At 39.0% G+C, this 17,173-nt stretch overlaps 1 long non-coding RNA gene across 1 annotated transcript; it reads left to right on the top strand.

Annotated features, from left to right (window-relative positions):
* Positions 1-4,747: 4,747 nt before the first annotated feature.
* Positions 4,748-13,288, top strand: LOC124909364 (uncharacterized). The gene is made up of 2 exons (XR_007095864.1): positions 4,748-10,803; positions 13,094-13,288. It is a non-coding gene; the product is annotated as an uncharacterized LOC124909364 (long non-coding RNA).
* Positions 13,289-17,173: the final 3,885 nt, after the last annotated feature.

Here is a 17,173-nt window from a genome sequence, read left to right on the forward strand (position 1 = left end):
TGAATGCAGAGGAGCTGTGTGATCATAGGTAAATACATCACCTCCTCAAGCAGTCGAAGGGTGAAAATTTTAGACCATTTATCTGCAAAGCAAACTAGGCCAATATTTGTTCATTCTTTCCTGGAAAAGTGAGGGTTTCATTCAAAAGTTTTTCACAAGGTCATAGGAATTTAACTCTTACAGACCCAGAATGCAACATAGGAGACAGAAGGCCAAGCCTCAGTTGATACTGAGTTCAGTAATGATGCATCATGGAATGAATTAGAGAGGGAAACATTGTCTGGTGGAGTAGATCAATGGCCATCCCAAAAACAGATTTTGGACCTTCTGTTCCCAATCCCCACCACATGTATATCATCTAGATATTTTGCATGCAATTTTTGAATTTATGGAGTAATAGAGGGGGTATCCAATGGAGAAATCTGGTGTGCATGGGTTTCTCAAACCTGCTTGAAAAGATAACCCCTTTGCCAAGGTGTACAATACACAGACCATATATATATATATATTTTTTGAGACAGAGTCTAGCTGTCACCCAGGCTGGAGTGCAATGGCAGGATCTAGGCTCACTGCAACCTCCGCCTCCTAGGTTCAAGTGATTCTCCTGCCTCAGCCTCCCAAGTAGCTGGGACTACAGGTGTGTGCCACCACGCCAGGCTAATTTTTGTATTTTTAGTAGAGATGGGGTTTTGCCATATTGGCCAGGCTTGTCTTGAACTTCTGACCTCTTCTGAAATTTTTCAAGGAAGAAAGACTGCAAAGAAAATGATCTATATTTTCTGTTTACCGTTGGTCTTTGGAGAGAGGAAATGTGTGCTCTATCAGTTTTAAGATGAACAATTAAGTAACAAATGAAATTTAAAAGTGAAGGCAAATGTTAATGAGGGAAAAATGTTGATGGAATGTGTCTTAGTTCAGGTTCCTTAAAAATAGTGTGAGGCAAGGATTCTTAAACAGTTGATTTATTGAAGTAGAAATGTGTAAGGAAACAAGGGAAGCAGATACTACAAGGAAGAAGCAGAGATGTGGGTATAGCTGAAATGAAGCCCCAACCTAATTCATGGGGAGGTGTGAGGTGTAAATGCCACTGCAAAATTGGCCTGTCTCAAGACAAGGACACTGGCCTTTTGCTCCTGTGCAGTGGCCATTCACTGACTACAGGACATCCCACAGGGAAGGCATAACCTTCCAGATATTTCTGAGTGAGGCAGCCTCTATTAGCAAAGGGAAATTTTCAGAAGGGAGTAGTTAACAGCTAACACTCACAACAACTGGGAGATGGGTGTGCTGGCCTGTTAAAGGAAGTCTAGATGCCTCATAAGAGCAGAAGAGTCAGGCAAGCAAATTTATTAGAATATAGATACAAAAGGAAACAGTCAAAATCAAAGTGAAAAAATAATGAATAAAAAGAAACCACGGGGATCAAAACAAAAGAAAGAGGAAGATGTGTCTTAGAAAAGTCGTGATTAAAAGAGTATAGAAAGAAGCAAGTAGCAGAGTAGACAAAAATGAGAGACAAAGAAGGATACAAAGGTCTTGGGGACAGGACCAATATCTGTACTGTCACAGAGAAAGTGAAATGGTCGTTTGGAGGAAAGTAATACTGTTTTCTTTGTTTGTTTTTTTCTTATTTTCAGTTTTTGAGACAGAGTCTCACTCTGTCACCCAGGCTGGAGTGCAGTGGTGTGATCCTGGCTCACTACAGCCTCTGCCTCCTGGGTTCAAGCGATTCTCCAGCCTCAGCCTCCTACGTAGCTGGGATTACAGGTGTGTGTCACCACACCCGGCTAATTTTTGTATTTTTAGTAAAGATGGGGTTTTACCATGTTGGCCAGGCTGATCTCAAACTCCTGGCCTCAAAGTGACCCGCCCACCTGGGCCTCCCAAATTGCTGGGATTACAAGCATAAGCCACCATGCCCGGCCAATGATACTGTATTGTATACTTGAAATTTGCTAAGACAATAGATCTTAAATGCTCTTATCACTCATACACACACACACACACACACACAGAGGCAACTATGTGAGGTGATGAATCCAAGTAAAAAAAAAAAAAAAAGAAATTTGTGTGAAATCCTAGAAGGAAGAGAATTCTAGATTGAACTAACATTTATTAAGAGACAACCATCTGCCAACTGCTTTCTACAGCCACTATCCTATTTTACGGAAGAGAAAATTGAGGCTTGAAAGAAGTTATGTAAAGGACGCAAGAAAGTGGTAGAGTAAGAAAGTGATACTATGTACTTGAACTCTCAGCCCTGGACTTTTTGCAGTTTGCCCATCACGTGATTGATTTAATAAGAACATATGAGCGGTGAAAGGGTTACCTGGTGTGAATTAAGGGTAGAGGAACATGAAGGTTGAGAGTGACCTTGGTCTACAAGGAGAAGGGAGTCTTAATGTAAATTGGTAGAGATCAACATGAAGCAGAGAGGCTGTAGAGGAAGAGTTGTCCATGCCACTGATGTTTTTATGGGAGGATGGCACTCTCTTCATCTTTTGTAATCAAACCAAAGAAAATATATTAGAGAGGGTTGTCAGAAAAGATACCTACATCAGTCTTCTGTTGGATGGCATTAGTTAGGAGCTAGGTTGGAGGCCCATGCTGCTAAATTAATGAATATATCTTAATGATTCTTATCCAGGAAAGAAACCCAAACACTGATTTCAGTGGAAGGATCTTGCAGTAGTAGAAGATGAAATAAAGTGGTGGGCCACAAAGGAATGACTGGATGCTGACATCCCTGGGAGGCATTATGGAGTAGAAGATTGATCTGTAAAGTGGGACAATTCAAGCACCAAAAGGCCAACTATTAACCTGCAAAAAGAGTCATAGAAGTTATATTTAAAATCCCTTGCAATCTAGAGCATATAAGAAACCACATAAACCTTTCTAGGCCAGGCATGGTGGCTCACGCCTGTAATCCCAGCACTTTGGGAGGCCGAGGCGGGCAGATCATGACGTCAGGAGATCAAGACCATCCTAGCTAACACAGTGAAACCCCGTCTCGACTAAAAATACAAAAAATTAGCTGGGCATGGTGGTGGGCGCCTGTAGTCCCAGCTACTTGGGAGGTTGAGGCAGGAGAATGGCATGAACCTGGGAGGCAGAGCTTGCAGTGAGCCGAGATCATGCCACTGCATTCCAGCCTGGGCGACAGAGCGAGACTCCATCTTAAACAAAAAAAGGGCATATAAAACTTTCTAATAAACACTTAAATACAGATTGAGAGACATACCTTCATTCAGGCTATATATCAAATAGTGAGGGCCTCTTGAGAGAAAGTGGATGCCTTACATTCATTTTCTCTCATCATTATGCAATGCCAAGTGGATTCTTAGCTAATGTTTAGTTTTAACCAAACCATCACTCACAAAATGGCTCCTCAAGACTTCTGCAAAGTGTGGATTTAAGAGGATTCTAATAATATAAACATAATAAAGAATGACAAAATAGATGACATGCATTTTTATTTTTAAAATTTTATTTTGAATTCGGGGGTACATGTACATGTTTGTTACTTAGGTATATTGTGTGCTGGTAGGGATTGGACTTCTAGTGAACCCATTACTTAATGAGTGAACTTTGTATCCGATAGATAATTTTTCAACCCCCTTCTCTACTTTTGGAGTGCGCAGTATCTATTATTTCTATCTTTATGTCCATATATAGCCATTATTTGGCTTCCACTTGTAAATGAGAGCATGCAATATTTAATTTTCTGTTTTTGAGTTAGTTCACTTAGGGTAATGGCCTCTAGTTCTATCCTTGTTGCTGCAAAGGACATGATTTCATTCTATTTTATGGTTATATAGTATTCCATGATATGTATAGATGTATAAATATATGTATAGATGTATACACATGTATACATCTATACATACACACATATGTGATACATGTGTATACACACAGATTTTCTTTATCAAGTCAACTGTTGATGGACACTTAGGTTGGTTCTGTGAATTGGCTATTGTGAATAGTGCTGCAATGACGATACAAATGCAGGTGTCTTTTTTATATAATGATCTATTTTCCTTTGGATAGATACCCAGTAGTGAGATTGCTGAGTCAATTAGTTATATTTTTAGTTCTTTGAGAAATTTCCATACTGTTTTCCATAGAAGTTGAACTGATTTATATTCCCACCAACTGTGTATAAGTATTTCCTTTTCTCCACGTCCACACCAACATTTGTTGGTTTTTGATTTTTCAATATTAGCCATTCTGTCTGGTATAAGGTGATATCTCATTGTGGTTTTAATTTGCATTTCTCTGATTACTGATGTTGAACATTTTTTCATATGTTTATGGACTACCTGTACTACTTCTTTTGAGGTGTCTGTTCATGTCCTTTGCCCAACAGTGTATAAGCCAGTTTTTAATAAGGTGTTTTTTTCTTTTTTCTCATTGTTTGAGTTCCATGTAGATTTTGGATATAATCCTTGTCAGAGGCATAATTTCCAAATACATTCTCTTGTTCTGTAGATTATACGTTTACTCTGTTGACTATTTCTTTTGCTGTGCAGAAGTCCTATGTGTCTTTTAAAAATGGCTGTTGCATTTGCTTTTGTGATCTTCATTATAAATTATTTTTCTAGGCCAATGTCCAGAAGAGTTTTTCCTAGGTTTTCTTCTAGGATTTTCATAGTTTCAGCTTTACATTTAAGTCTAATCTAATATATCTTGAGTTAATTTTTCTATATGGTGAGAGATAGGAGTCTAGTTTCATTCTTCTGCATATGGCTGGCCTGTTTCCCAGTATCATTTATTGAATACGGTCTTCTTTCTCCATTGTTTATTTTTGTCAACTTTGCTGAAGATCAATTGTTTGTAGGCATATGGCTTCATTTCTGGCTTCCCTATTCTGTTACATTGGTGTATGTGTCTATTTTTGTACCAGTACCATGCTGTTTTGTTTATGCTAGCTTGTAGTGTAGTTTGAAGCCAGGCAATGTGGTGCCTCTGGATTTGTTCTTTTTGCTTAGATTGCTTTGGATATTCTGGAGACATGAGTTTCATTCTTACTTCTTTACTGGTATTATGATATTTTTAAAAAACTACTCATATTTAAAAAGTGACCTAAAATAATTAGAACTTTATATATTGGGTATCTAGATTATTATAGGTATGACTAATCAGAAAAGTTAAAAAATTATTGGTAGAGCACTATTCACTATCCACTGTTTGCCTCAAGGGCAGACAAGTCTGTGGTGCTGTTTATGACCCAGCAGCTCCCTTGGATCAAACCAAGTTTGACTTTATCCTGCTTCCTTATCTTCTACTACTTAGCTCCCTAAGCAGAAAACATTGTATAAAAAAAGACACCTGCACTAGTTTGCCCCAGGGTCTGAGTTTTAAGTAACCTAGGACAAGTTAGAGAGCTTCTGTGTACTTCAGTTTTCTCATCTGTGAAGTAGGGACAATAATCTCAGATCTTAAAAGAGGTAAAGTTTTAAAAGCACATAGGTTGGTTCCTGGCACAATTGGTATGTAAAAATAAATTAGCTCCCTTTGTTTTCCTTTCTAGCCAGTCCAGTATTGAATTTTATCATGTTTTTGTTTCTCTAATCCAGTATTAAGTAAGCAATGTAAATTAAATCCCAGGAAGATATCTGTAATTTAATTAATTTTTGTCTCATTTCATTTGAAACTAGAATGGGGGCCAGCAGTCATCATGAAATGCATCCTTTATACTGGAGTCAGGCATAAAGAAATGGGTTAATAAGCTTGTATCATTGAAATCAATAATTGCTAGTAGTGTGTTGCCATGCTTGCTGCACTTTTTACTGATACTAATACATGCATAATATTTGACTTGTGGAAACAGACTGAAAAATGTGGGTTTCATCAGATTTCAGGTTGGGTTCTCCAAAAGCAGAGCCTTACACAAGGATTTTGTGCTTGTGGCTCATTGAGGGTATTTTCACAAAACAAAAGACAACCAACAAGCCAGAGAAGAAAAAACTCCCATCATCATAAGGAAGGGAGCTAAGTAGAATAAGGCAGGGGAAGGGACAAAGCAAGGTAAAGTCTAAACATGGTCTGTTCCAAGGGGGGCTCTGGGTCATAAAAGCACCACAGAATTGTCTGGCCTTGAGGCAACTAAATAGGTCAGTAGCCAATAAGATGGCTACTTATTTTGGGGGAGGGAGGTGAGGGAGGACTATAACTTCCCTCCCCAGGTGACTGCTATCAGTCTGGGGTGAATTTTTCAGAGAAGAAGGCAGCTGTGAGCTGCTAGTAGCCAACACTCACTGCAGCTGAGGAATTAGTGCCCAGGTCTGTTAAAGAGGGTGTGGGTGGGGCACACAGTGTCTTCAACCTACCATCAGATGAACAAATCTAAGTTTTCAGGAGAACCTTCTTACTGTCATATGTATGTATCGGCAACACGATGTATTGTGTTTAGTGCAATAGTAAGCCTCCTCTTCATAGCCCACAGTATTGCTGTCCAATAGAATATAAAATGGAAAATAAAAGTATTTTTAAATTTTCTAGTTGCCTCATTAAAAATTAACATGAAACAGATGTACTTAAATAATATATTTCACTTTAATTCAATATATCCAAACATTATCATACTAATATGTAATCTAAAGCTTATTAATGACATTTTCATTCTTATTTTAGCAGTAACTGTTCAAAATCTGGGGTGATTTTAAAATGTAGTTGAGGGCTATTATATTGAACAGCACTGGACCTCAGAGTCTATAGGAGTGGTCGACTTCAAAGCTGTTGCTTTGTTGTCAGATCTTAAGCAATAAATTCTGATTTTATTCTTCATTGACAGCATACACTTGAGGAAGTAGGGTAAAGTGATAGGCATACCTTTTAGGAGAAGTAGGGAAACATGGGCTTTGGAGTTAAGTAGGCCTGGTTCTAAATTCTCATTCTGCTACTTCTGATCTTGGCTAATGTATTTGCCCCAATTTATTAGACTCTGTTTCCTCAAATGAGAAATAGCATAATATTTACACGGCAGAGTTAAGCATTAAAGAAAATGTGCCCTAAGTTTCCAACGCACACCTGGTCTGAAAGAGGTGCTCAGTAAGCCAGCAGTTAGTGCCTTCTCCTATGGCTGATGGAGTGTGTGTCTCCATGTGGAGAAGAAATGTAGATTAATCTTCCTCCATTTTCTCTCACTTGTGTGCTCTCCATCTCTTCATTACTTTTATTTTTCATTGCGTATTCTCACTTTCTGCTTTCTTTCCTATTCTGTATCTTTTCATTCAAAAATGAATTTATTATCATTCTTATGTTTATTTAGAGATAGTGTCTTGCTATGTTGCCCATGCTGAATTTGAACACCTGTGCTTTAAGTAATTGATCCTCCCACGTCAGCCTCCTGAATAGCTGGGACTATAGACGCTTACCACAACACTCAGCTTTCACTCACAAATTTAAATAAAACATTGTTTTGAGGCTAAATTATTTTATTACAAAGATTTTCAAAGATTAAAACTGCCTTAGAGGCCTAGTTCAAGTCCCATCTTATTTTAGAGATGAAGACACTTGTTTGAATGCTTCTTTCCTTTCTTGTTTCCTTCCTTCCCTTTCTCTGTGTGCTGGCTCCCCTCTGTAAGCTCATGGTCTTCACTATGAAAATCGTCTTGGGTTTTGATGTTGGTTATTTTTGCAAGGCAGACCACTGGAACCATAGTTTAACAAATAAAAGATCAGCTCCTCTTACACTTTATGCCAAAACAAGCCTTGTGAGCATTACAGAAAAACAATCAACAAACATTACTTCCATGATTAATCACTGTAATGAATATTAATAACACAGCTGATATGAGCTCAGCTTTCTTTCATTTACTAACATTGAAGGTTCTTAAATGTTTGCAATTTAGTTCACATGCTTCTTTTTAAGTTAATTTTTTGCTTGAGTAATGCTCTAGGAAAGAACAACAGCCAAATCTGAGTGGCTTTGCAATTGGTAGTGGTCTTATGTAAACAGAAGCCTTCATATACATTGTAAATTTGCCCATGGTTCACACTTATTAAGTGTTCTCAGTGAACTATGAGCACATTTACAACACTGGGCAACACTGTCCAATAGAAATATAATGTTGATCACATGTGTAATTTTAAATTTTCTAGTAGCCACATTAAAAAGTAAAAAAAGACAAAAATTAATGTAAAAAATATATTTTATCTAACTTAATATGATCCAATAAGTAACATATTTTCTCAGTACATCTATAGCCAACCCTCCTAGGTTTTCTTGAAGAAAATGAAAATTGTATTCTGAATGATTTACAGAAGTCAAGCCCCATTATAGTAAGCAAAACTTGATAGACAACTTCTCCAACTCTGAACATGAGATGGTCAAAGCAAGGTTAGACCTATGATAATTAGGGTGGTCGGGTTCAGATATATCTAACTTCTGGAGGTTGTGTAGGAGGGCAGGAAGTCATGCTTAGACAAGGAATGAGCTAATTAATGATCCTATTTAAAGGTCAGCCATTTACTTTTTCAATAGCCTAGTGACATTTATCCTAAGTCACTTAAGAAATGTTATAAAATGTCACAGATTCATGTAGCATTGCCATATGGAGGGCTTGGATCCTAAAATTGGTCTGCACAGGACTGTGTCTCTATATTGATAATATAATCAGAGGAAGCTGTTTCGGTTAGAACAGGAATTGCAAGTTAGCATCCGCATTTTGACAGCTTAATTTTATTCAGTAGTCTAATTCTCTGCAGAACTTATAGATCCTCATACTGATTTGCCAGAATGGGGGAATTTTGTCCATTAAAATGTGATTTAGGATTGGGAGCACAAAGTGGCCTTCTAAGATCTCATGCCAGAGACTGACACAGATACAAGGGAATGGATGAATTTAGGGTGTCAAATTGTTGATGCATTCACACTTTTAATATTTGACAGGACTACAAACAAAAACGTTTTTCTGTGTAGTAAATTAGTTCTATTACTAGATAAATTCCCTTAAGTAATGGAGATTGTGAAAAATGTTACAGAAATTCTAGAGGAGGATCAAAGTTGAGGAGGAAGTAACAGTGACCAGAGTTGGAAAATAACTATTAAGGTGGAACCAAAAAACTCAGAAGATTGACAAAATGTCAGACTAGCAAATGTGGTAGACATTTTCTGTGGCCATCCATCATCCTGTTTATCTTCTTTTGGCAGTATTACCCTGAATTCCATAGGAAAAATATTTCTTCCCCATTGCATAGTATCTGTGGTAGGATTGTCAACCGCATGTTCTTGCACTGCACTACCCTAGGAAAGTAGTGGACTCATGTTCCAAGCCATGTTGATTGGTCTTTCCATCCTGACTTTCTGAGTTCTGAGTGGACAGATTCAATGGCAGAAAAATGACTTGGAACTGATTAATTCTGGGAGCATGCTCTGAAGAGACCATAATCATTTTCTTCCTAGAACCCCTGTTCTGTTCAGTTTCAATTCCAGTTTCTAAGTTTTCCTTTGACTAAGAGTTACACAGTATCCTTCCAATAAATTCCCTTTTGTATACGGCAACTAGAGCCATATTATTAGCTTATCACAGGAGTAAGCAAACCATAGCCCAGGGTTCAATATGGCCCACCACTTATTTTTTTGCAAATAAAGTTTTATTAGAACCCATAAATGTACATGCATTTAAGTATTATCTATGCTTACATGCCATAACAACTGAAGTGAGTAGTTGTGATAGAAATCTTATGACCCAAGAACCTAAAATATTTAACACCTGGTCTTTTAAGAAAAAAATTGCTTACCCCTAGCTTATCAAATGTCTTAGAATGAGTTGTCTCAGAAGCAGACCCTGAAACAAACATTTGATTGCTAGTAGTTTACAAGTTGATCCCATGAGGAGTGAGGAAGTGAGATAAGGAAGAAAACGAAGCAATGAACCCTACATTCCCAAGCAGGTTCCTGCAGTGTGCAAATAGCTCAATACCATTGGAAAACAGCGTAGAAATGTTTCAGAGTTTTTCCACCTGTCGATTGAGTGAGACAGGGTATTTACATACTTACTCCTGAGGCCAGCTTGCAAAGTCATTAACTCTCCTGGGCCTGCCTGGAAATTAGCAGAATGGGCTCCAGCAGACAGGACAAAAGCTCTGTGGCACACACCATCTCTTGCCCCAATTATAGAAGCCTTAGAGTTATAATGCCCAGAAATGGTGAGTGCTGAGAGCTTTATAAGCAGGGCACGAATAGTGTCTGCCACTCCAAAAATCTTAGCTGGTAGGCAAGTTAGAAAACAAGCTCTTGGTGAGATTAATGCCCCTTCTCTTTTCCAGGGAACATAATTGTGTTAGTTCCATCATGATGAATGCAACTAACTCCTTGGGGAGGATGGAGTTGGGGAATATGTGTATTAGAAAAAACATTAGCATCAGAGCCTAGGAAGTTGGATTTTGGTCCTGCTTTGGATTCTATTATTTATTGGCTATGGTAAACTTTAACCAAGTTATCTTTTTTCTCTGGGTATCTCAACCTTCAGCAAACTGGTAGGGGTTTATTTACAGAACAGTTCAGCAGGATTCCAAGAGAATGAGCAGAAGAATGTAAACTCTTGAGGCCTGGGCTCAGCTCTGGCACCCCAAAACTTCCATTGTATTCTACGGCTAAAGCAAAATACAAAAACCAGGTCATATTCAAAGGAAGGGGGAGATAAACCACATTGCACACCACTATTTTGCAGTTATACTTCATTGCAAAGGGGTATGGACACACAGAGAGATGGAGAATGGGAGCTATTTTGCAGTTTGCTGTACAAGCCACGGCAGACTGCACATGGATAGTTGCACCACTGCACGCCCTAGTGTGTGAGTACAATTTCTCTTCAAGTTCCTTTTCTGCTGAACTTTTTTTTTGTTCTTTGTTCTTTGTTCTTTGTTTTTGAGACACAGTCCACCTTCTGGGTTCAAGCAATTCTCCTGCCTCAGTCTCCCGAGTAGCTGGGACTACAGGTGCACGCCACCACGCCCAATTAATTTTTGTATTTTTGGTAGAGACGGGTTTCACCGTGTTGGCCAGGATGGTCTTGATTTCTTGAACTCGTGATCCGCCCGCCTTGGCCTCCCAAAATGCTGGCATTACAGGTGTAAGCCACTGTACCTCACCTGCTATGAGTTCTTCTATTAAATACTTTGAAAATTTAGGAAGAGACAGCAATCAGGTTCATGGTGTTCTCAATAGGGCAGACTTCTCCAACTGTCCCCTGAACCTTGTAGTTATGTGATCAAAAAGCAAATATTTTATCTTTTGACCCTCTAACAGAAATATTATGTGTATATATATATATACACACATAATATTTTATAAATATTAATATATATAAATATATGATGTATATAATTATATAATGTATAATATATAAATAATAACTTATATATATATATATTATATATAAAACCTTTCTTCTTGGGGATATCTTTCCCCTTGTTAATAGAATATGGAAATAATCAGAACAAATAGTTTCTCCTTACCAGGGATCTAGCATTTGAGTGCCAGAGTTAAGGACCAGAAACTAGAAGTTTTCAGTTCATTGGCACAGTTATACCTAAAATAAGAAGCACTGAATTCATTAGTCATGCTTCCTGGCTGTCATTTTTGATTTGGGCATCCAGTTTCAAGGAAAGAGGTAGCATGGCAAGGAAACTGGAAAACACATGGGCTGTTGAGTCAAATGGGCTATATTCCATCTACCCCTTGCTAGCTATTTACTTTGTAGTGAAGGGAACATTCCATCTTGAACCCCAGGCTGGCTGACATTTTAGGGTGTATTAGGGGGAGATAGTAGAGCAGGAACAATTCAGGCATGTCTGTAGGGAAAATTTATCCTAGGGAAGTTGAAGTTTAGATCCACAGGCTTGGGCCCAAATTTATTCTAGGGATCCACAGGCTTGGGCCCTACTGATGATTTCATTGTAAGAGATAGGGGATGTCTTGAATGGAAAGCTCATTGTCCGTACTTAGACTTGTCTTCCTGCCCAGCACTATGGACTTAGAGCTAAACTCCATGGAGAGGAGGCTTCAAGTAAAATTCTGAGGGTTGTTATCCCCTATCTGCAAGACATTAGAGTTTCTGGTAGCAATGCTGGTAATTCTCTAATAGGAGAGGCACAAAAGGAAGATGAACACAGCATAACTTGCAGGTGGAGAGGGCTTCAGATGACAGGCCAGAGCAAGAAGTGTGGAGAAAACCGAGGAGTTAGAAAGCAATGGATACCAGCTTTTTCCTAGAAAATGGCAGCAGCAGAGTAGGGTCTGGGGACCTTGTCTAGCTAAGATGTCAGCAGATGTCACTGAGAGTATCCAGATAGATTGAGGAGGAATAAGTCAGCACACATGAGACACTCTCTGGGGGCTAATTTTCAGTAAAGTTTTTGTTAGAAGAGGGCATCCTTCATTGGCAGCTGGTGCAACTGGTGTTAACGTCAGAGAAATATGGATTCTGAATGACTATGTCATGCCAGAGGAAAAAGGCATGGAGCTCGTGCCAACATGTACAGCACTATAGTTGGCAAGTCATTATACCTACCTAAAAAGAGTCCAGAGTCCAGTGGGAGAGACAAGATTGCGAGAGATCTATTCATTAAGGTTGGCAGCAAGGGCAGGGGGGTGGAAAGGAGATCAAGGCAACTCCACCTGGCTGGAAATGGGATGGTCAGGCAAAGCTTCAAAGTGCAATGTGGGCACAGTGCTTGAAGGGTGAACAGCAGTTTGTCAAGCAAAAGAGGATCTGCGAATGTGTGCATATGCATGTGTACACACGTGTGCATGCTCTCTTTTACTTCCCTGTGCCTAAGTCTTATCTCCAGCTTGGGGTTATTTATGCTCTATATGTTGGTTGTGAGAATGGAGCACAATAACATATGTAAAAATTCCTTTGCAAATGATCAAGTATTAAAAAGGTCATTTAATGATGATAAAAGTAGTACAGTGAAAGCCTTGTTAATACTGTATCATTCAATCAAGTCTGTGGCAATGGATAATATTACTGAAGCGTTTAATATGTCACAAGCTTTATTCTGAGAGCTTTATATGAATTAATTCAAATTACTCCTCACAATATTCCTTGATAGGGGTACTAATATTATTTCCATTTTGTAGATGATACAACAGAGGCACAGACAGGCTTACTCAGATCACATTGCCAGTGAATAATGGATCCAGGATTCAAGTTGGCATTTTGACCCAAATCTGCAGCCTTAACCATGATGACACACTGTCCCTGTATGTATTATTTCTAATGCTGCCTGACGCACATATTCTAGCTACCACATAATAAACATTCATTGATTATTACTACCTGTCTGTAATTCTAATTACTGCAGATATTGCATTGAGCAAAACAAAATTTTTCCCTTCAAGGAGCTGACTCTATCTTCTATCCTAATGAAGGATACATATAATTAGCAGGTAAATAATATGTCCAGTTGTGAAAAATTCTAAGAAGCAAAAGCAAAGCAGGCAAAGGGCAGAGATGGAGAGAATGTGATGTTAGCTAGAGTAGATAGAGGGGCTGTCTCTCATGTGATGAGGAAGGATAAAGAAGGGTTGAAGGAATTTGTCTGTCTAGAGAAAGAACATTCCAGGCAGAGGAATGGATGCTAAGACCGTAAGATGGGATGGTGTTTTTAGTGTTTAAGGCATCATATGATGGCAAACATGGATAAAAGGGAGGGAGCGGCTGGGTGCAGTGGCTCACACCTGTAATCCCAGCACTTTGGGAGACCAAGGCGGGCAGATCACCTGAGGTGGGGAGTTCGAGACCAGCCTGACCAACATGGAGAAACCCTGTTTCTACTAAAAACATAAAATTAGCCGGGCATGGTGGCACATGCCTGTAATCCCAGCTACTGGGGAGGCTAAGACAGGAGAATCACTTGAACCTGGGAGGCAGAGGTTGCAGTAAGCTGAGATCACGCCATTGCACTCTAGCCTGGGCAACAAGAACAAAACTCCATCTCAAAAGGAAAAAAAAAATAGGAAAAGGGCAAGGACAAGAATGATAGGAGATATGAGAGACATAGCAGAGGCAAGATCCTGCATGTCTGCGTGGTTAGATTTTTATTTTTATTCAGAGTGATATGGGAAGCACTGAAAGTTATAATGACCTGGCATGGGTTGCTTTTTTTTTTTTTTTTTTTTTTTTTAAGATGGTGTCTCGCTCTGTTGCCCAGGCTGGAGTGCAATGTTGTGATCTCAGCTCACTGCAACCTCTACATTCTGGGTTCAAGCAATTCCCCTGCCTCGGCCTCCCCAGTAGCTGGGACTACAGGTGCCAGCCACAACACCCAGCTAATTTTTTGTATTTTAGTAGAGACAGGGTTTCACCATGTTGGCCAGGATGGTCTCGATCTCCTGACCTTGTGATCCGCCCACCTTGGCCTCTCAAAGTGTTTGCTTTTTTAAAGGATTATTCTGGCTGGTATTTGAAGGAAAACTACAGGAATGCTGAGGTGGAGCAGGGAGATCAGTTAGGAGACAGTGACAAAAGCCCTGGAAAGAGATGATGGCTCAAATTCAGAGTCATATTGGTGGAGACGTAGAGAAATAGGCAGAGTCTAGGCGTACTCTGAAAATAGATAGCAAGACCAGATGGAGGGATAAGTGGGGAAAGAAGGGAATTAAGGGTGCCTTCAAATTTTCGCATGAGAGAAATTCCATGAAACATGGAATTGCAATTTATTGAGAGGTACGGCTGATGGACTAGGAGTTTGATTGTGAATATAGTTAGGGCTTATATGTATACAATTTGAAATGTTTCTTAGTTATGGAAGTGGAGGCAGTAAGTAGGCAGCTAGAAATAAGGATCTGTACTTCAGAGGAGAAATTTTAAATGTGTGTGTCATTTCTTGTAGACGGCACTGAAGTAATGAAACTAAATGAAATTACTTAAACCCAAGGCCTGAGCTTTGAGACATTTTGGTGTTCATAAATATGGAACATAAGGGGCAGCCAGCTGATGAGATTCAGAAGGAGCAGCCAAGGAAGGAAAATGAGAACCAAAGGTGACACTTTGGAGGCAAAAGGAAGAACATGTTTGAAGGAGAAGAGATGACTGAAAAACTGTATTAAATATTGCAGACAAAATAGATAAGATGACATCTAAGAGTTGATATCTAAAACTGGCAACACGGAGATCACTGGAGGCTTGATAAAAGAAGTTTTGTGGAGAGCATAGGAAGAAAGGTTGAGGAGGCAGCAAACTTTTGAGGAGTTTGCCATAAAAGAAAAGAGAAAATGGGTCAGTAACTGGGGAGGATTTTGAGATCAAGGGAGAGGTTTGTTGTAAGATGAACAACTTTAATGAGAATATTTTAATGCTGATGAGAATGGTTCATGACAGAGGGAGAGAGAAAGAGATTTCCTATATTGCAGTAGAGAAGATGAATAATGAAAAAAAAAAAGGATTCCTTGAGGAATAAGAGGGAATGAAATCTAGAATAGAATGGAAGAAATGGAGGAGGTATCTTGGGTAAAGCACAAATATATTTTCTATTGTAACAGGGGGAAGAAAGAGTATATACATACAGATGTGGGTAGACTGACTGACTTGTAGTAGCAAGAGAAAGTTCTATACTGCTTGCTTCTGTTACTCAATAAAATAATCAGCCAGAACATTGGCTGAGATTAGGGACATGGAAGGAAGTTGGAAATTTAAGGAAAAACAAAGAGTGAAGGGAATTTTAGGAGCATGAATGAGTAAATTGTATAAGAAAATATCGTAGGATTGATGGGCAGCTAATGGTCCCTAGGTTTGCATGAGACCAGTCAGTGGCCATTGTGGGATTTTTCTCTAGCTATATTAAGCCATTGAGATGCAGATGCAAAGTAGTCGAAGAATTAGACTCAGCTAAGAAGAGTTCTTTATTTCTAATCAGATGAGTATAATGGAAGGAGATAGGAAAAAGGTAGTTGAAAATGTAATCAAAAGAACAATTAGAATCACCTATTATATTTCAGAAATAAAATAGATAATTTCAGCTTGATGACTGGGTGATTATTACTGGGAAGATAACTATTGTTATTAATATTTTTGTCTGTTGTTTAATGGTATTTTGCCTAGCATGTGTTAGGTGAGGGGAGGCGACAGGAAGCCCTCTTTCTCACTTTTTAAAAAAATAGACAATTCACAATAATTCAATCATTTTAATGATGAATGTGGTTTAAGTTCTATGGATATTTGTTGAATACTTAAATGTGCCAGATGCCATCCTAGGCAGTGGGAGTACAGACAGATACAATATCTAGTGAATGAAGTCAAATGAGTGTATAAACTATAGTGTGGTAAACACAGTGGAGGAGGTATGTGCAGGGGCCTTCTGGTAGAAACTGATAGAAGGGATTTAGATATTCCTGAGGATGGAGAAGGCTTTCTGAGGGTAATGATTAGTGAGATGAATGTTATGAATAGGAGACAACCAAGTGGGGAATATTGGGATGGGGGAGTTAGAAAGGGCATTTCTAATTCAGGGAATGTCATAAACCAGGGCTGAAGGTTTGTAAGAATGGAGTCAGTTCAGGGAATTCAAGGTACAGTGGTTTGATGGCTGAAATGTGGAATACTGTAAGTTAGTGATGACATGTTAGGCTGAAGAACAAATGGGCCCCAGATAATGAAGGGCCTCCATATGTTATACAGAAAGGCTTGAATTACTGTAAGGACAGTGATCGGTCACTAAAGACACTTAAGCAGGGAAGTGACGTGGTCAGCCTATTTTGCATTTTAGAAGTGTCACTTTGTGCTGTGTGAAAACTACATTGAAGAGAATGGTAATACTTTAAGCAGAAGCCAAGTTCAGAAGTTCCTAAAACATTTTAGGTAGAACATGGGCTCACCCAGTGGATCTTTGAAATGGTTAGAAGGGAAGAAGCCAGCTCCACAGATGTTCAGTAGAAAAAGTCAACAGAACTTATGCATATAGTGGCAGATCTGGAGGAGTGGGCAGCCAACTCTGAGTTCCTAGCTCAGGCTGACTGGGCTAGAGGTCCATTCATCCAGGCAGAGAGTGTAAGAGTGGGCTCCACTTTGTTAATGCTCGTTGTGACACAGGCTTCCATGTATTTCCCAAATTTCTTTCCTTTTCTTCCTGTACATAGTTAAACTCTATTTTTCATTCTCTCCTGAGTTGGGTGGGGCCATATTACAGAATTTTGGTCAGTGGAATACTGTTGGAAGTGATA

The sequence above is a fragment of the Homo sapiens genome, chromosome 3, assembly GCF_000001405.40.
Source record: "Homo sapiens chromosome 3, GRCh38.p14 Primary Assembly".
Taxonomy (NCBI): domain Eukaryota; kingdom Metazoa; phylum Chordata; class Mammalia; order Primates; family Hominidae; genus Homo; species Homo sapiens.